The following is a 19,820-nucleotide window of genomic DNA, read 5'->3' on the forward strand; positions in this document are numbered from 1 at the left end:
GGGAATATTGATTTGATGACTAAAAGGTGAGCCCAGATTCTTCCATAGAAGAGATAGACACTAAAAATAAAGATATGGATGGAAATCTCCCACAGAGTAGAACAAAAGAGCCAAAAAGAGGGACAATAAGAGAAAAACAGAGAAAATTAGAAACTCAGTTTGGAAAGTATAACTTCTGACTAAGAGAAATTCCAGAAAGAGAAAAAAATGGAGGGGAGAGCCAAGTCTGGTGTCTCATTCCTGTAGTCCCAACAGTTTGGGAGGCCGAGGCAGGGGGATTGCTTGAGCCCAGGAGTTTGAGACCAGCTGGGCAACACAGTGAGACCCCATTTCTACAAAAAATAGAAAAATTACTCAGGCATGGTGGTATGCACCTGTAGTCCTAGCTACTCGGGAGGCTGAGGTGGCAGGATCACTTGAAGCTGCAGTGAGCCATGATCATGCCACTGCATTCCAGCCTGTGCAACATAGCACAACACTGTTTCAGGGGAAAAAAAAATAGGAGGGGAGAAAATTATCGAAAAAATAATACAAGAAAATTTCCTAGATTAGAGGGATATAAGTCTCCAGATTGAAAAGGCCCAGCTAACACAAGTGAGGAAAAGCCTCACTGAGGGGAGTCATCATCAAATACAACATTATGGATAAAGATGATAGCCTAAAAGTTTTCAAAGATTAAAAATAAAAAAAGAACAAGACACATATAAAGCAACAGGATTAAGAATGGCATTAGATGTCTTAAATCTGGATACTAGAAACAATAATGCAATGTTTTAAAAATTCTGAGAGAAATAATTTTCAGCCTAGATTTCTTTTTTTTTTTTTTTTTTGAAATGGAGGCTCCCTCTGTCGCTCAGGCTGGAGTGCAGTGGTGCAATCTTGGCTTACTGCAACCTCTGCCTCCTGGGTTCAAGTGATTATCCTGCCTCAGCCTCCCCGAGTAGCTGGGACTACAGGCATGTGCCACCATGCCCAGCTAATGTTTTTTTTGTATTTTTAGTAGAGACAAGGTTTCAGCATGTTGGCCAGGCTGGTCTCAAACACTTGACCTCAGGTGATCTGCCTGCCTCGACCTCCCAAAGTGCTGGGATTACAGGCATAAGACATGGCGCCTGGCCTTCAGCCTAGATTTCTATACCCTGCTAAACTATTAATCAAGTGTGAAAACAGTATAAATGCATATTTAGACATACAAGGACTAAATATATTTGCTTCTTTGCAACCTTTCTCAGGAATCTACAGAAAGATGTGCTGCACAGAGATGACAGAGTAAATCCACAATCTAGAAGTTTGAGACACAAGGTCCAGGGCACAGGGAATCCCAACCAGGTGTAGGATATAGGAAAGTTCAGTATGACAGCTGTGCAGTAGGCCTGGAGAGCACTGGTCCAGATCAGAGCTGAAGCCTTCAGGAGAAAAAAACAAAAGAGAACTCATGAACTTTTTTTTTTTTTTTAAGTTGTTGTTGTTTTTGTGAGATGGAGTTTTGCTCTTGTCACCCAAGCTAGAGTGCAATAGGGTTATTTCGGGTCACTGCAACCTCCACCTCCTAGGTTCAAGCAATTCTCCTGCCTCAGCCTCCAAAGTAGTGGGGATTACAGGTGCCTGCCACCACTCCTGGCTGATTTTTGTATTTTTAGTAGAGACGTGGTTTCTCCATGTTGGCCAGGCTGGTCTTGAACTCCTGACCTCAGGGTGATCTGCCTGCCTCAGCCTCCCAAGGTGCTGGGATTATGGGCATGAGCCACCATGCCTAGCCGAATTGTTATGTTACACATCTGGAAAAATCACTGCTGATTATTTTGTCTAATTTATTAACCACATAGGAAAAAATTAACAATATCTGCAAAGAAAGCTAATGAAAGGGGGGAAAAAATGAGGCAATTATTAGCTTCAGGAAATACCAAAAGAGGCTGGGTGCAGTCTCTTTTGGTATTTCCTTTATTATTTTATTTAAAAATAAACTTCTTCACTGTAGAGAAAGTGTAAATCAAATTATGTGGGAGTTTTAATGGGCCAGGCCTGAGAATAGCACACATCACATTTAATTGGCCAGAACTTGGTCTGAACTGTAAGGAAGGCTGGGAAATACTGTCTAGTTGTGTGTCCAGGAGCAGGAAGAAATAACGTTTTTGAGAGGAAGTAGCAATATCTGCCACAACAGGCAAAAAGTAGTTGTAGGCAGATGAAGAAGACCATCTCAGGTATTCATTTATTCAAGGAGCAAAACATATTTGTTCAGCAACTACTATTGACTAAGCTTGGTTCCAGGCATGGTGGATACAAGAGTGAACAAATAAAAGACTGCTCTTATGCAGTTTCTATTTAGTGGGGAACAGCAGGTGTAAGTTCCATGGGGGTTGGAACCTGCCCTTCTAGGCCAGTGTGGTTGGAATAGAGTTTTAACGAATTTTGCAGGAAGTAATAAGGACTTCATATTTGATTCTAAGAGCAATGAGACTCCATTAAATCGAGTATTAATCAGAAAGTGGCATGATCTGTTTTATTTATTTATTTATTTATTTATTTATTTTAATCTTTATATCTGAGACGGAGTTTCGCTGTTGTCGCCCAGGCTGGAGTGCAGTGGTGCCATCTCTCTCACTGCAACCCCTGCCTCCCGGGTTCAAGCGATTCTCCTGCCTCAGCCTCCCGAGTAGCTGGGACTACAGGCATGCGCCACCACGCCCGGCTAATTTTTTGTATTTTTATTAGAGACGGGGTTTCGCCATGTTGGCCAAGCTGGTCTCGAACTCCTGACCTCAGGTGATTCACCTGCCTCAGCCTCCCAAAGTGCTGGGATTACAGCGGGAGCCACCGCACCTGGCCGCATGATCTGTTTTAAATAATTACTCTGGCCACCTTATGGAAAATGGATTGTTCGGACAGAGCTGGACAAAAGAATGGAAACAGACCAGATATTTCAGGCAGGCTAGAGATGAGCGTGGCCTGGCCTTGCCTGGGGCGGTTGTGACTGACTGGATTGGGTGAAGGACAGGAAAGCTACAACAAGGGTGCCTATAGGTGTTCGTATTGAGTCACTGGGGGCACCCTAAATGGGAGTTACCTCAGTAGCAGTTTGAGACACCAGTCAGATAATGGATGTGAAAGCTTTTAGAAAGGTTGAACGGCGGCTGAAATCGCGTGTGTTCCATTTACAGATGGGAAACTGAGGCACGAGATACCAGAGGATGGAGTCAGGCCACGTTGTGCGCCACTCTCCCCGCTTAGGTGGGTGAGGAGACCGAGGTGTGTTGGGCCCCCGCTAAACACCAGCACCGACCTGAGCCCCGCCCAGACCCCTCCAGCCGGCTTTCCCTGTCCTCTGCTCGTGTGCCAATAAAGTTATTGAAATTGACACCGGTTGCTAAGGAAGTGGGTCGCCGAGCCAGGTTGCTAAGGAAGTGAGCGGCCACTGTCTCTCCCCATCCGGGGCAGCGGGGAATGGCTGAGCCAGGGGTTCGCCGCCCCCGCCGCCGCCGCCGCCGCCGCCGCCGCCGCCGCCGCCCGCTTTCGGCTCGGGCCTCAGGTGAGTCGGAGGGGCCGGGCGCCCACCGAGCAGGGCTAATCCTGTGGCCGCCTGGGGTTTTCCCTGCGACCTGCGCCCGCGCCTCTGCCTGGCTTTGCTGTCCCGCGAGCCGGAGCATCCTCTGCCCTGCCTCCTAGGCATCCTTTGGTAGTCCGGACGGCCTTGCCCCTCCTTCCCCTGGCAGGGTCGCGGCCCGACCCCCAGACACGGCCACCTTGGGTCGCAGCCCACCTGGGGGCCCTGAGGCGGTGGTCAGGGCCCCAGTTTGGGAGGAGGGCGGGGAAGCGAGAGCCTGGGGTCCGAACCTCGGCGCTGTGCTGGGCTTGCTGTGTGACCTTGGGCAAGTCTTTTCACCTCCCTGGCCTTAGCTGACCTGTTTATTCAATGGGGTCCTAACATTGCTGCTCAGAGTGGTAAAGATAATGAGAAGTGTATGTGAAAGTGCCCTAAATGGGGAGAGGGAGAATTCTTAGGGCACCCTAGATGGGAGACCAAGAGGGCAGTTTGAAGTCTGAGCGAGTTAGAGACGTGGCATTTCCACTTAGTAACTGTGTGGCCCTGGGCAAGTTAATTTCTCTGAGTCTTCTTTTCCTTATCTGTGAAATGAGGTAATAGACTACTGTGGAAATCAGTGAGACTGGGTATGTCAAGTAGCTTGGCACATAGTAAGTGCTCAACCAGCTATTATGAGGCGTCCAGGGTAGGAGGGCAAGACTTCCAGGAGGAGATGACTTTGGGACAGGTAAGGTGTAGGTGTGTAGAGTGCCAGCTCATATGGGTAGTCCTACTGCAATGCCAACCCCCAACCCCGGTTTTACTTCTCCATTCTGCTCAGAGCAAGGGAGGTACTTCTACAAGTAGTCCTGGGAAACTCTTTGAGGTCAACCCCTTGTAGATAGCTGGGGTCATGGTCTCATTTTCTACCTGGGCTTCGTTGACCCTTCCAGAAGAAAAAAGGCATCTTTGTGTCCTTTGGGAAGTGCTTAAAGCAGTAATAACTATTTACAAGCATATGATTAAGAAGCACTTTACCAGGCATATTATTTCATTTAATCTTTATGTAGACTTTGCCAGGTGCCTGGTGATGTCATCCTCATTTTGCCGATGAGGAAACTGAGGTTCAGAAAAGTAAAGGGAAGGACCTGCTTAAGAATCCTTTTTTTTTTTTTTTTTTTTGAGACAGAGTCTTAGTCTGTTGCCCAGGCTGGAGTGCAGTGGCGCGATCTCAGCTCACTGCAACCTCCGCCTCGTGTGTTCAAGCGATTCTCCTGCCTCAGCCTCCCGAGTAGCTGGGACTACAGATGTTCACCACCTCGTCCACTAATTTTTGTAGTTTTAGTAGAGACAAGGTTTCACCATGTTGGCCTGGCTGGTCTCGAACTCCTGGCCTCAAGTGATATACCTGCCTCGGCCTCCCAAAGTGCTAGGATTACATGCGTGAGCCACCACACCCAGTCATTGCCTAAGAATCTTGTATCTATTAAGTGATGGAAGTGGACGTGTTTCTAGGTAAATCCTGTATTTTATCCCCCATTCACTGTTGCCTCTGATTTTGCAACAGTTGCTATTATAAGGCCACAGGGGTATTCTTTTGTTACTTTTAACTGGCTAGAAGTTAAAAGGCAAGGAAACAAGATCTCAGGTAAAGCTTTATTTAAATAGATACCACCCAAAGTGAGGATCTCAGAAAATAGTTGGAATCTTTTTTTTTTTTTTTGAGACGGAGTTTTGCTGTTGTTGCCCAGGCTGGAGTGCAATGGTGCCATCTCAGCTCACTGCAACCTCCGCCTCCCTGGTTCAAGCAGTTCTCCTGCCTCAGCCTCCCAAGTAGCTGGGATTACAGGCATGTGCCACCATGCCCGGCTAATTTTGTATTTTTAGTAGAGATGGGGTTTCTCCATGTTGGTCAGGCTGGTCTCAAACTCCCGACCTCAGGTGATCGCCTGCCTTGGCCTCCCAAAGGACTGGGATTACAGGCATGAGCCACTGTGCCCAGCCTGAGAGCTGGAATCTTTAAAAGAGGGCTTCTCTGTCCCTCATTCCCTCCTCATTAAAATGAGGGGACTAGGCTAGATTATACTGAAGGCCCTTTCAGTGCTGTTATGCAGTTGTGGTTAAAAGCTTGCAATCAGACTACCTGGACTAAAATCTTGGCTCTGCCACTTCCAAGCTGTGTGCTACTGAGCAAAGAGGTGCTACTTTACCTCTGAAATGATGCTCAGTACCTCTGAAATGATGAGAGGACTTTTTGGTAAGGGGCTCTGTGAGGAAGAATTATTCATAGTTCATTTTGAACCCCTTGGTGGTATAGTTTCCTCATCTGTAAAATGGGGATAGTAATAGGCCTTATTACCTGTGGCCTTATTATCATGTATGGCTGTTCTGAGGATTTATTTGAACTTAATATATGTGAAGTGCCCAGCATATTTGGTAAACATTAGCTATCGTTATTTGGGTTTAACGTGGTGCTTGTGCTGTATTTTCCGTGTATGGTTGGTGAAAGAATAAATTAAAGTATGTGATAATACCAGGTCCGTCAACCATAATGTCATTGCAAGCATGAAACAGTAGCCATCATGGCATTATATAAATGTTGATATTTTTATACAGTTGGCCCCAGGAACCTGTAATCATGTGCCACAATGGGTTGCAAAGAAAGGTAAAGCTGTCCAGGCATGGTGGCTCACGGCTGTAATCCCAGCACTTTGGGAGGCCAAGACGGGTGGATCACGAGGTCAGGAGATCGAGACCATCCTGGCTAGCACAGTGAAACCCCATCTCTACTAAAAGAAAAAAAAAATTAGCTGGGCATGGTGGCGGGCGCCTGTAGTCCCAGCTACTCGGGAGGCTGAGGCAGGAGAATGGCGTGAACCGGGGAGGTGGAACTTGCAGTGAGCCAAGATTGCGCCACTGCACTCCAGCCTGGGCGACAGAGCAAGACTCCGTCTCAAAAAAAAAAAAAAAAAAAAAAAAAAGAAAGAAAGATGAAAGCTGATGGTAGGACGTTAGGTTTAGTAGCTCAACATCCAATTCAGTAAATATTTGCTAAATCCCCTTATGCTAGGCACATGGAGGATGTGGAGGTCAATCCCATCTCCATATCCTTCGAGGAACTCAGAGCTTAATTTGCAAATTACTGCATTTGACATCTTTAAATGAATTCATATCTTATGTTTGCCTTGGCTGCAGAGTGAAGCCACTGATTCTAATCTGTTTTGTTGTGTCCCTAGACTTCTGTTAGGTGCCTGGATTAGAAACCTCAGATTGCTTCCTAAGCCTTTTCATCCATTAATTCGCAAGTCCCTGAGAAAGACCCCGTCTTATGTAACAGAGAGTAGCAATACTTGACAATAACAATAAGGTGCCTAATGGCTTACAAAAATGCCTACACTTGCTTACACATGCTTTTACTCATTTAATCTTATCTGTGTCCCTTCAAGGAAGGTAAGGTGCAGATTAGGATCTCTGTTTTATAGTCGAGGAATCTGAATGGAAGCCAAGAAGCCATGATGCTATTGAGTGGCCCATTTCACGTTGAAATCCAGTCTTCTGTCTTCAAATTCAGTGTACTTACCACTATCCTGCCCGGATTGTATTTATTCAGTATTTCCTGAGCACCTAGAATGTGTCAGTTCTGTTTTAGCCTGGAGATATCATGGTAGAAAGGTACAGAGTCCCTTGCTCTCATGCAGCTTATATTCTACTGGCAGCAAACAGAAAAATACAGCAGTAAATGAACAAGGGAATTTGGATGAGGAATAAGTGCTGGGGTGAAATCCCATCTCTATTAAAAATACAAAACTTAGCTGGGTGTGGTGGCACGTGCCTGTAGTCCCAGCTATTCAGGAGGCTGAGGCACAAGAATTGCTTGAACCTGGGAAGCAGAGGCTGCAGTAAGCCGAGGTTGCGCCATTGCACTCCAGCCTGGGCAACAGAGCGAGACTCCATCTCAAAAAGAAAAAAAACCCAACAAACAAAAAGAAAAAGAAAAGGCCTTGCTAGGATGGTGACGTTTTTGCTGAGATTTGCTCCCAGGGACGGGCCAGCCATTTGAAGACATGTCAGAAGGAAGAGCAAGGGTAAAGGCTGTGAGGTGGCAACAAGCTTGGTAAGTTCCAGAAACTGCAAGAAGGCTTACAATGGCAGGGACAGGTGAGTCAAAGGCAGAGTGGGGAGGTGGGTGGATGTAGGGGATGGAAGTGGTAGGGAGCGCTCAGATCATACAGGACCTTGTCTGCTAGAGTAATGAGTTGGGATTTTGTTCTAAAAGCTGTGGAAATCATTGGAGGTTCTGGAGAAGGGACGTGGCATGATCTATTTTTGTTTTTTAAAAAAATCACTCTGGCCTCTTTGTGGCAGTGAATTTTAGAGGGCATAGGAGTGGCAGCCAGGAGGCTAGTTAAGAGGTTAGGTGAGAGAAGATAGTGGCTTTCTAGGTTGGTGGCAGTGGAGATGGTAAGAGGACGGATTGGGGATGTGTTTCGGAGGTAGAACCAGCAGGATGGCGGGATGAGGGTGAGAGAATAAGGATGACTCCTGGGTTTTTGGCCTGAGCAATTAAGTAGATGTTAGAGATGCCATCTGCCTCTGAAATGATGAAAGGACTTTTTGGTAAGGGGCCCTATGAGGAAGAATTATTCATAGTTTATTTTGAACCCTGTAGAGGAGAGGCACAAGGTATAAGCATCATACTTTATAGTCTGTGGGGAGGAAATCCCAGATTATGCTGGCAGAAGCTAGCCAGGTGCAACTGATTGAAGCTTGACGTTCTTACTGTGAACCAAAAAAAAAAGTCCTGCTTTTCTACAGTCTGGCTTTTTGCCAGCCTGTGGAGCGGCAGGTGTGGGCTTTGCCAGGGCAGTACCCATCTGTCTTTCTGTCTTGTGCTGTTGGCATTGCAGTGCTGACTCGGGATCTTGGCTGAGGGAGCCTGGCCAGCTCTGGAAGAGGGAGCGGAATCACTAGTGAAGTTCACTTGGTGTGCCAAATGGCCACATTCTCCCTGCCAAAGTGGTTCTTTCCTGGTCACCAAATGACAGTTCTGAAGTTTCAGAGCTTTTGACTTCAGAATCCCTGGAAAACCTATTGTACTCTACCAGAATTCCTAGAGGATTCTTGAATCTCTTCTGAGCAAGGGAATTCGAGCTTCATTGTTATGTATTCCAGTAACTGTACTTGTAAATCTGGGCATTACAGGGTTGTACATTCAACATTGTGAATAGTAAAACTAATAGTCTTATCACTGCCACTTGTTTATTTAATTAAATTTAATAAATTTATTCATTTTGGAGACAGGGACTCCCTCTGTCACCCAGGTTGGAATGCAGTGGTGTGATCATGGCTCCCCCACAGCCTTGAACTCCTGGGCTCAAGTGATCCTTCTACCTCAGTCTCTTGAGTGGCTGGGACCGCAGGCATGTACTGTCGTGCCTGGCTAATTTAAAAAAAAATGTTTTGGGGACGGGTGTGGTGGCTTATGCCTGTAATCCCAGCACTTTGGGAGGCTGAGGTGTGCAGATCACGAGGTCAGGAGTTTGAGACCAGCCTGACCAACATGGTGAAACCCCTTCTTTACTAAGAATACAAAAATTAGCTGGGCGTGGTGGTGCGCACCTGTAATCCCAGCTACTCAGGAGGCTGAGGCAGGAGAATCGCTTGAACCCGGGAGGTGGTGGTTGCAGTGAGCTGAGATCGCACCACTGCACTCCAGCCTGGGCGACAGAGTGAGACTCCGTCTCAAAAAAAAAAAAAATTCTGTAGATGGCTAGGCATGGTGACTCACACCTGTAATCTCAGCACTTTGGGAGGCTGAGGCACGTGGATCACCTGAGATCAGGAGTTTAAGACCAGCCTGGCCAACATGGGGAAACCCCATCTCTACTGAAAATACAAAAATTAGTCGGGTGTGGTGGTGCATGCTTGTAGTCCCAGCTACTTCGGAGGCTGAGGCGGGAGAATCGCTTGAACCTAGGAAGCGGAGGTTGCAGTGAGCTGAGATTGTACCACTTCACTCCAGCCTGGGTGACAGAGTGAGACTCCATCTCAAAAAAAAGAAATTTGTAGAGACGGGTCTTACTGTATTGTCCAGGCGTCTTGGCCACAAGTGATCCACTCACCTTGGCCTCTCAAAGTGCTGGGATTACAGGCATGAGCCGCTAATTTTTTTAGAAAACTTGGTCTCACTCTGTTGCCCAGGCTGGAGTGCAGTGGTGCAGTCATAGCTCATTGTAACCTCCAACTCCTGGGCTCAAGCGATCCTCCCACGTCAGCCATCCAAGTAGCTGAGACTACAGGTGCATGCCACTACACCCAGCTAATTAAAAAAAAAAAATTTTTGTTTTTAATTTTTATTTTTTGTAGAGATGGGGTCTTGCTATGTTACAGGCTAGTCTCAAACTCCTGGCTTCAAGCAATCTTCCTGCCTCAGCCTCCCAAAGTGCTGGGATTACAGGCATGAGCCACAGCACCTGGCCACCACTGCTATTTGTATAACTTTGCAGTTTAGAACGCTCTTTCCTGTGCATTCTCATTTACTAATTGTCAATCAGTTGAGATCATCTGGACTACATATTATCCCTGGTTTACAAATGAAGACATTGTGGTGTGGAGAGGTCACTTGTTTTTGTCAGTAATATTGAGCATTTTCTAGGTGCTGAGTTAGGGAGATCCTTGCTGCTCAAAGTGTGTTCTCTGTGACAGATGTACCATGTCCCCAGGACCTTGTCAGAAATGCAGAATCTAGGCTGGGTGTAGTGGCTCACGCTTGTAATCCCAGCACTTTGGGAGGTCAAGGCAGGAGGATCACTGGAGGCCAGGAGTCCGAGACCAACCTGGGCAAAACAGTGAGACCTCCTCTGTATTTTTAAAAACAGAAGAAGAAGAAGAAAACAACAACAATAACAAGGCCCAGATCTAATAAATCAGAGCCTGCCTTTTACCAAGATCCCGGATGTTTCCTGTGCACATTAAAAGTTTGAGATGCTCTCACCTAGGTAATCAGTAGCAAAACTAAGACTTACCAATGATAATGACAATGAAGGTAATAGTCGTAGCTAAGATACATTAGCCAAGCACTGTTGTAAGCACTTTACACATGTTGTTTCATTTAGATTTAGACCTCACACCAATCCTGTAACACAGATTTCCAGAAGAGGAAAGTAGAGGCTCAGAAAAGTTCAGTAACTTCCTGACATCTGCTGACTCCAAGTCTATTGCTCTTTCTACCATTCATTCGCGTGTTCATCTGTTTTTCAGGTGGGCAGTGACCACATCTTAGCTGTCTTGTCAAAGGCCTTTCTCTTCCATACCTGCATAACTAATTTTAAATGATGACCAAAAAAAAAAAAAAAAACAGTGACTTGAAAGAATGTTTGAGAAAATCAAGGGAAAAACTTCTGAGCTAGATGGGTGTCAGTTACTTGACTGATGAGGCCGCAAACAGATATCTCATTTGGTCAGATAAGCTACCTCTCACACTTCTTAGTGATCTAACTTCAGGGTCCGAACAGCTGAAGCAGGTAGGAACTGTGAGCTTGTATTCTGAGTCATTTAGCTCTAAGCTGTTTCTTGATTCTGGTGATAAATATCTACACTGGGTGAGAAGATAGTGGATAAAGTCCCATATAACACCTGCCAACTAATTGTTAAAACATTCCATCTCACTGTGCCTCAGTTTTCTCTCTCTGCCCTGTGGGCTCATTATTTTCCTTTCAACACCTCCTGTCTTTCTAGACTCTCAGAAAGATATATTGGTCGAGGACTATGCCATTATAGGAAATTTTGACCTGAAAGGATGGTGGGAACTGGGTAAAGGCAGGATTCTATCAATTCTGCTACTTGCTGTGTGACTTGGAGCAAGTGACTCAACCTCTCTAGGCCTCTGTCTTGCGCATACATATATATATGTAAAATAAAGATATAGGACAGTTCTTCCCAAAGCCCTTCCAGCCCTGCCCACAAGACTGAACCTTGAGTTGGGTGATATTTTGTTCTTTCTTGGTGACTTCATACTGAGCTTTCTCCCAGACCTTTCGGGTGTGGCTTTTAGAGCGTATTTCTTGGCAGTCAGAGAGCATTACAATCAGCTCATCTTATCAGCATCACACATCTGCACAGCAGCTTGGGATGTTCATGTTTAAGGTTCAGTTAATCATGGTGACACATTGTGTCTTCTCACTTTGTCACACTGATTGCGGACATTGAGCTCTTCACACAGGAAGATCTATCTTTAGCATGCTGATTTATTTAACTCATAATTTGCATTAGAGAGGGAACCAGTGATAATCATGGTGGGTGTGGCTTTTATTTTTAAAGTTTTTGGCAAGACATTTGCAGCACTTGCATTTTGTCATGCTTGAATATAGTCTATAAATGGAAATGGGTTCAAGTGAAATAGAAATTGCCATAGATTATTGGGAGCTTGGGACTTAACCACTCTGGAGTCCTTCATATCACCTTCAGCAGTGCTTTCAGGAAGGGCTTGCTTGGCCTTTTGTGTGTGACATAAATTAAACAGAAACTAAAAGCTCATAGCACAATCTCTAGCAGCTTAGCAGACTACAGTAATCATTACTTTGTAACACATTTCAGAACATAAGCAAAAAATCTAGCTGGCAAATCATAAAAGATTCCATCTAGGTAAGATAAAATATCAGTTCAAGTTACCTAAAGATAACCACAAGAAGATAGTCCTTGGTGGAAGTAGTTACTGGTTTTGCAAGATCTGCAATAATAAGTTAGACTCTGGCCTAAGAAATATATGTAATGTTTTTCCTTATTCTTCAATTGTCAGCCTTTTAAAAATATATAATTTTTTCCGATTATAAAAATAATAAACTTCCATTGAGTAAAAAAATGAGGAAAATACTGAACAGATTAAATAAGGCTGACTTTAAGATCCACCACTGAGAAATAACTACTGTTAACATTTTACTGTCCATATACAAATGTATTCCTAAATACATTTTATCTCATAGGCTTGCAGTTCTCACCTGTTTCCTCCATTGTTGTTATTTAGGCCATTTTCAACATTTAAACATTATGAGTAATGCTTCAGAGAACATCTTAATGATGATTATTTTGTGTAAACCTTTGTCTGCACTGCTGATGATTTCTTTAAACTAGGTCCTTTAATGTTAAAAATTTTAAATTACAAAGGCAACCCCCCTTAAATAATGTTTTTAACATGGCAGTGTTAACCTAAAGCTGAAAAGACAGACAGAATTACAATTTGGTTGGGGAATTTACCCATGGTGATGGTATCCTAACTCAGGTTTTAGCTTACTTGACTACTTGCAAGTATATTTTTAGAAAGTTGTATTCAAAGCATATTTCCCATTTTCTATTTGGAAATGTTTGCTTAACATTATTTCATAACCATTTTTCCATATTTTTGTACTTATTTATTTCAATTTTTGTTTCATTTTATTTTTGTAGAAACAGGGTCTCACTATGTTGCTCAGGCTGGTCTCAAACTCCTAGGCTCAAGCGATCCTCCTGCCTTGGCCTCCCAAAGTGCTCAGATTACAAGTGTGAGCCACCAGGCCCAATCTATTTTTTTTATTTGTTTATTTTTGAGATAGGGTGTCGCTCCGTTGCCCAGGCTGGAATACTGTGGCATGATCATAGCTCACCGTAACCTCCAGCTCCTGGGCTCAAGTGGTCCTTCCACCTCAGCTTCCTAAGCAGCCAGGGCCACAGGTGCGTGCCACCACTTGTGGCTAATTTTTAAATTTTTCATGGAGGCAGGATCTCACTATGTTGCTCAGGCTGGTCTCAACTCCTGGCCTCAAGCAATGCTCCTGACTCAGCCTCCCAAAGTGCTGAGACTACAAGTGTGAGCCACTACGCCTTGCTGTGTTTTTGTGTTTAGTAGTTATTACTACATGTTAGTAGTTTAGTAGTAACTACTACACTTTCCCTGGCATTGAGCATTGAAGTTGTTTCCACCTTTTTATAATCACATATAATGTGTTATACAGAATATCTCCTTCTCTCTCAGCCTCTTAAGAGAACAATTCTAAATAAGTGGTTTGTGAAAAGTTTGAACTTTAAAAAATTCTAACAGAGAACTGTCCATTTCCCTTCTTAGGATCCTCTAAAAGTATCTTTTTTTTTTTTTTTTTTTTTTTTTTTTCAGATGGAGTCTCACTCTGTCGCCTAGGCTGGAGTGCAGTGGTGCAGTCTCAGCTCACTGCAACCTCCGCCTCCTGGGTTCAAGTGATTCTCCTGCCTCAGCCTCCTGAGTACCTGGGATTACAGGTGCACACCACCACGCCCAGCTGATTTTGGTATTTTTAGTAGAGATAGGGTTTCACCATGTTGGTCAGGCTGGTCTTGAACCCCTGACCTTGAGATCTGCCCATCTCGGCCTCCCAAAGTGCTGGGATTACAGGCGTGAGCCACCGTGCCTGGCCTAAAAGTATCTTTAAAAAACAGATTTAGCTGGATGTGGTGGCTCATTCCTGTAATCCCAGCACTTTGGGAGGCCTAAGTGGGAAGATTGCTTGAGGCCAGAAGTTTGAGACCAGCCTGGGCAGCATAGTGAGACCCCATCTATACAAAACATATGAAAATTTACCCGGGTGCAGTGGCTTGCACCTGTACTCCCAACTACTCGGGAAGCTGAGGCAAGTTCAAGCCCAGGAGTTCAAGGCTACAGTGAGCCATGATTGCGCTACTGCATTCCAGCCTGGGTGACACAGTGAATGAGATCCTGTCTCCAAACAAACAAAAAATGAACTTTATTTAGATATATTTTACATATGATGAAGTATTTTTTTGATGTAGTAGTTTTTCTCACCTTCTTTTTAGTCTTCTCTTTATCCATTTTTCTTTCTGATGAAGAATTCCCTGTGAGTAGGACCCAGAACATAGGCCTTTGTCATTTCAACCCTTCGTTCTCTGAATAGGCTGTTTATTGGCAACATTAACTGGAAACATTTTATGTACAGCATTGGAGTCTCACTCTGTCGCCTCAGCTCACTGCAACCTCCGCCTCCTGGGTTCAAGTGATGTGCACTGTATGAACTGTGAGAGCAAGCATATCATTATAACATTGGACAATGAGCCAAGACAGTTCTGATGGACTTTTGAAGAGGGATTTTTCAAAAAGCATTTAACTCATCATATTAATAAAATAAATCCTATGATTTATGGGAAATTCTGTTGGATCAACTTTGGAAACTGTTTACTATAAAGGTAGCATGCGTAGGCATGAATCTTGATAAGACAAGATTCTGATCCGGGGTTCTGAGTGGGTCCTTATATTCTGCAGAGCTGAACCAGGTGGAATAGGAGGAGAGTTTGGGTAACAGTCAAACACAACATCCAAAATTATGTTGAATGTAGTGGTGAGAGCTATTCCCTTTAAAACTCTCTCTTGGTTCTTCTGACTGTGTCAAGAATACTGTATTTGTTTGGTACTGGTCTGGTTTTTTTTTTTTTTTTTTTGAAATGGAGTCTCAGTCACCCAGGCTGGAGTGCAGTGGCACGATCTCAGCTCACTGCAACCTCTGCCTCCTGGGTTCAAGCAGTTCTCTGCCTCAGCCTCCTGAGTAGCTGGGATTACAGGTGCCTGCCACCATGCCCGGCTAATTTTTGTATTTTTAGTAAAGACGGGGTTTCACCATCTTAGCCATGCTGGTCTTGAACACCTGACCTTGTGATCCACCTGCCTTGGCCTCCCAAAGGGCTGGGACTACAGGCGGGAGCCACCATGCTCGGCCACTAGTCTATTTCTTAACACTTATTAAGCTCCCTTTCAAACCAATGGTGATCAAGCTTAAGGCCTCAGATAAGCTACAGTATTTAGCTAGAATTTAGTAACATTGTTGTCTGTTCTTATATTTATTTTCACAGTTACTTTCTATTTATAACAAGTGATACTGATTTTCCATTCATGGTGGTTATATAAAGTTTCTTTTTAAAATAAACTTTGTGTTAAGCAAAGTAGATTTAAAGAAAAAACGTTAAGTAAATAATAGTACAGGTGATGATAGACATGGCGAAAATTGTCCAGAAACAATCGGATTATTGACATTTAGGACATGCTGGTGTGGAAGAAAGGCCATGGACTTTGGAGCCAGATGGACCTGGTTTCAGCTTGCTTTGCCACTTATTAACTCAGTGTGCCATGTTACTTCCCTGTCTAAGTCTCTGTTTTTTTTCTCCTGCAAATTGGGTCAGGGCAGAGTTACCACTTGTGGGCCAGACGCTTGCTGCCTGTCTTCTTCTAGTCCTCACACGGCCCCAAGCAGCAGGTGTTAGTGATATTCCCATTTTACAGATGAGGAAATCAGCTCCGAGGGGTAAGAAACTTTCACAGAGCCTCAGAACTACGAATGATAGGCTGGGCACAGTGGCTCCCAGCACTTTAGGAGGCCGAGGCAGGTAGAACACCTGAGGTCAGGAATTCGAGACCAGCCTGGCCAACATAGTGAAACCCACGCTCTACTAAAAATACAAAAGTTAGCCGTGCGTGGTGGCAGGCGCCTGTAATCCCAGCTGCTTGGGAAGCTGAGGCAGGAGAATCCCTTGAACCTGGGAGGTGGAAGTTGCAGTGAGCCGAGATCACGCCACTACACTGCAGCCTGGGTGACAGCAAGACTCCATCTCAAAAACAAACAAACAAAACTAGGAATGATAGAGCTGGGTTTCAGTCCCAGGTGTGTCTGAATCTCTTTTTGGCTATTCAGGCTACCTCTGCCTGTTAAATACAGGTTTTGCTATGGCCCTCTGCCCATAGCATTATTCACAATAGCCAAGAGGTAGAAGCAGCCCAAATGTCCGTTAACAGATAAATGGATAAAGAATATGTGGTACAGGCCAGGCGCGATGGCTCACGCCTGTAATCCCAGCACTTTGGGAGGCCAAGGCGGAAGGATTGCTTGAACCCAGGAGTTCCAGACCAGCCTGGGCAATATAGTGAGACCTTGTTTCTATAACAAATAATAATAATAATAAATTAGCTCAGTATGGTGGCATGTACCTGTAGTCTCAGCTACTCAAAAGGCTGAGGTGGGAGGATTGCTTGAGCCTAGGAGTTCAAGGATGCAGTGAGCTGTGATTGCACCACTGCACTCCAGCCTGGGTGTCAGCAAGACTGTGTCTCAAAAAAAAAAAAAAGAAAATATATATAGTGCATACATGGAATGGAATATTATTCAGCCTTAAAAAAGAAGGAAGTTCTGACACATGCTTTAGTATTGATGAACCTTGAGGGCATTGTGCTGAGTGAAATAAGCCAGTCACAAAAGGACAAATACTGTTATGATTCCACTTATCCGAGGTAGCTAGAGTAGACAAAATCATGGAAACATGGTTACCAGGGGCTAAGGAGAGGGGGAAATGGGGAATTGTTCAGTGGTTATAAAGTTTCAGCTTTGCAAGATGAAAAAGTTCTAGAAATGTGTTATACAACAATGTGAATATAGTTAACACTACTGAACTATACACTTAAAATGATTAAGAGGGTAAATTTTATATTATGTGGGGTTTTTTACTGTAATTTTAAAAAAATTTTAAATGATAAGCCATTGGTTAGAGGGTGATTTTTTTTTCATTTGGAAAATCCCAATTATGCATAAAACTAGAATAATGTAATGAATCATGAACCCATTACCCACCTCCAGCAGTTCTCAGCACTTGGCAATCCTATTTTACCTATAACCTTCCATGCACCCCACCCCTGAAAAAGATCCCAGATGGCATATAACTTTATCTGAAAATATTCTTGTTTACCTCTAGAGGATAAGAACTTTCTTTTTAAAATAATAACATTTTTTTACACGTAAAAATAATTTCTTACATTGTCTCATATCCAGTGTTCCAATTTCCTTGATTGTCTTATACATTTTTTTTTTTTTTTTGAGACAGAGTCTCGCTCTGTCACCCGGGCTGGAGTGCAGTGGTGCGATCTAGGCCCACTGCAATCTCTGCCTCCCGGGTTCAAGCAATTCTCCTGCCTCAGCCTCCCAAGTAGCTGGGATTACAGACATGCATGCACCACACCCAACTAATTTTTATATTTTTAGTAGAGACAGGGTTTCACCATGTTAGCTAGGCTGGTCTTGAACTCCTGACCTCGAGTGATGCACCCTCCTCGGCCTCCCAAAGTGCTGGGATTACAGGTGTGAGCCACCGCGCCTCGCCTCATTTTTTTTTTCTTGAGACAGGGTCTCACTGTATCACCCAGGCTTGAGTGCAGTGGTGTAGTCAGAGCTCACTGCTGCCTCAAACTCTTAGGCGGCTCAAGCAAACTCCTGGGCTCAAGTGATCCTCCCAACTTAGCCTCCTGAGTAGCTGGGGCCACAGGCATATACCACCGCACCTGGCTAATTTTTAAAAATTTTTTTGTAGAGACAGGATCTTGCCATCTTGTCCAAGCTGGTCTTGAACTCCTAGGCTCAAGTGATCCTCCCACCTCAGCCTCCCAAAGTGCTGGGATTATGGGTGGTGAACCACCTAGCTTGGTCCTTGTACATTTCTTAACAGTTGGTTTGTTTGAATCAAGATCAAAAAAGGAGCTGGACGTAGTGGCTCACCATGGTGGCTGGTATTACATGATGGACCTGTAATACCAGCAGTTTGGGAGGCCTAAGTGGGAGAATCACATGAAGCCAAGAGTTTGAGACCAGCCTGTGCAACAAAGCAAGACCCCCCCCAACTTCTACAAACAATTTTAAAAATTAGTCCAGGCATGGTGGCTCATGCCTGTAATCCTAGCACTTTGGGAGGCTGAGGTGGGTGGATCACTTGAGGTCAGGTGTTTGAGACCAGCCTGGCCAACACGGTGAAACCTCGTCTCTACTAAAAATAGAAAAAAAAAAAAAAAAAAAAAAAGAAAAGTCGGGTCCAGTGGCGCACGCCTGTAGTCCCAGCTACTCTGGAGGCTGAGGTGGGACGATTGCTTGAGCGAGGAGTTCGAGGCTGCAGTAAGCTGAGATTCTGCCACTGCACTCCAGCCTGGGCAACAGAGCAAGACCTTGGCTCTTGAAAAACAACAGAATGTGAAGACCTTGACTCTTAAAAAACAATAGAATGTGTACAACAGTCCTACCTCTGGGAGTGGATCCTACCAACTACTCCCACTTACCCTAAAGGTATATATGTTCAGTATAGCCACTGCAGTACTGTTTGCAGTAGCAAATGACCAGAGACCATCAGAAGGTCCCTCAATAAGGGACTGACTGATCAAAGACATTTTTTGGCTGGGCGCAGTGGCTCATGACTGTAATCCCAGCACTTTGGGAGGCCAAGGCAGGCGGAACACCTGAGGTCAGGAGTTCAAGACCAGCCTGGCCAACATGGCAAAACCCCGTCTCTACAAAAAATAAAAAATTAGTTGGATGTGGTGGGGTGTGCTTATAGTCCCAGGTACTTGGGAGTCTGAGGTGGGAAGATTGCTTGACCCCAGGAGGTTGACGTTGCAGTGAGCTGTGATTGTGCCACTGCACTCCAGCCTGGGCAACTGAGACTCTGTCTCAAAATAAATGAGTGAATGAATGAATGAATGAAAGGAAGTAAGACAGAAAAGAAAGGAAAAAGAAGCAGCTAAGCATGGTGTCTGATGCCTGTAATCCCATACTTTGGGAGGCTGAGAGACGGAAGGATCACTTGAGCCAGGAGTTTGAGACCAGCCTGGGGACCAGCCTGGGCAACATAGTGAGACATTTGTCTCTACAAAAAATAAAAACAAAATTAGGTTTGGTGGCATGTACCTGTAGTCCCAGCTACTGAGGAGGTTGAGGTGGGAAGACTACCTGAGCCCAGGAGGTTGAGGCTATGGCGAGCCAACATCATGCCACTGCACTCCAGCCTGGAGTGCAGAGCAAGAGTCTGTCTCAAAAAAACAAACAAAGAAAACAACACAAAATGAGTTGGGGGGCGGGGAGAAGGAGTTCTCCAAGATTTATATAGGAAGAAGTACAGTGGTATATAGTATACTGCTACTTGAGTTAAAAAGGTTTAAAAGCAAAAGATGAAGATGAAGGAGCAATGCAGATATGTTAGGAAGATTTACATGTTCACTGTACACTCTGTACAGCTTGAATTGCGTTAATCTTTGCATAGACATACACATGTATATATGCGTATATATCAGGTGTTTTAAAAATATATGGGTTTATATATGGGTTTTAAAATAAGACAAATCTGGTTTTGAATCCTGACTCTTCCACTTAATTGTCGTGTAACCTTGGGCAAATTAATTTCCCTGAGTCTCTGATCCTTATTCTTTAAATGAGGCTAATGCCTGCCTTCCTCCCAAGGTGATTTTGAGGATTAAAAGAGG

The 19,820-nt window shown here is 44.4% G+C and overlaps 1 protein-coding gene and 1 long non-coding RNA gene across 3 annotated transcripts in view, besides 5 other annotated features; one reads left to right on the forward strand and one right to left on the reverse strand.

Annotated features, from left to right (window-relative positions):
- Positions 1 to 1,182: 1,182 nt before the first annotated feature.
- LOC124904885 (uncharacterized) lies at positions 1,183 to 3,307 on the reverse strand. Its single transcript, XR_007067561.1, has 2 exons — positions 3,068 to 3,307; positions 1,183 to 1,406 (listed from the first exon to the last, which is right to left on the reverse strand). It is a non-coding gene; the product is annotated as an uncharacterized LOC124904885 (long non-coding RNA).
- Positions 3,171 to 3,220: an enhancer, noted in NCBI's record as "active region_17714". NCBI's record gives its function as "activates an Ori minimal core promoter by ATAC-STARR-seq in GM12878 lymphoblastoid cells {active_cell/tissue: GM12878}" and the evidence as "EXISTENCE:reporter gene assay evidence [ECO:0000049][PMID:35858748]".
- Positions 3,267 to 3,777: an enhancer, noted in NCBI's record as "H3K4me1 hESC enhancer chr20:30865306-30865816 (GRCh37/hg19 assembly coordinates)". NCBI's record gives its function as "activates a minimal SCP1, AML or CMV promoter by ChIP-STARR-seq in primed H9 embryonic stem cells {active_cell/tissue: H9 hESC(primed)}" and the evidence as "EXISTENCE:reporter gene assay evidence [ECO:0000049][PMID:30033119]".
- Positions 3,267 to 3,790: a biological region, named in NCBI's record as "H3K4me1 hESC enhancer GRCh37_chr20:30865306-30865816".
- KIF3B (kinesin family member 3B) overlaps positions 3,415 to 19,820 on the forward strand; it is a 57,361-nt gene continuing 40,955 nt past the window's right edge. The window contains exon 1 of one of the 2 annotated variants that reach the window (NM_004798.4): positions 3,415 to 3,529. The gene's annotated coding sequence lies outside the window, so the exon portion shown is untranslated. Of the gene's footprint in view, positions 3,530 to 3,881; positions 7,638 to 19,820 lie in introns of those variants that run through there. The other variant, XM_047440590.1, reaches the window with a different exon arrangement.
- Positions 3,431 to 3,590: a silencer, noted in NCBI's record as "silent region_12779". NCBI's record gives its function as "represses an Ori minimal core promoter by ATAC-STARR-seq in GM12878 lymphoblastoid cells {active_cell/tissue: GM12878}" and the evidence as "EXISTENCE:reporter gene assay evidence [ECO:0000049][PMID:35858748]".
- Positions 3,611 to 3,790: a silencer, noted in NCBI's record as "silent region_12780". NCBI's record gives its function as "represses an Ori minimal core promoter by ATAC-STARR-seq in GM12878 lymphoblastoid cells {active_cell/tissue: GM12878}" and the evidence as "EXISTENCE:reporter gene assay evidence [ECO:0000049][PMID:35858748]".

Source organism: Homo sapiens, chromosome 20 (assembly GCF_000001405.40).
Source record: "Homo sapiens chromosome 20, GRCh38.p14 Primary Assembly".
NCBI classification, from domain to species: Eukaryota; Metazoa; Chordata; class Mammalia; order Primates; family Hominidae; genus Homo; species Homo sapiens.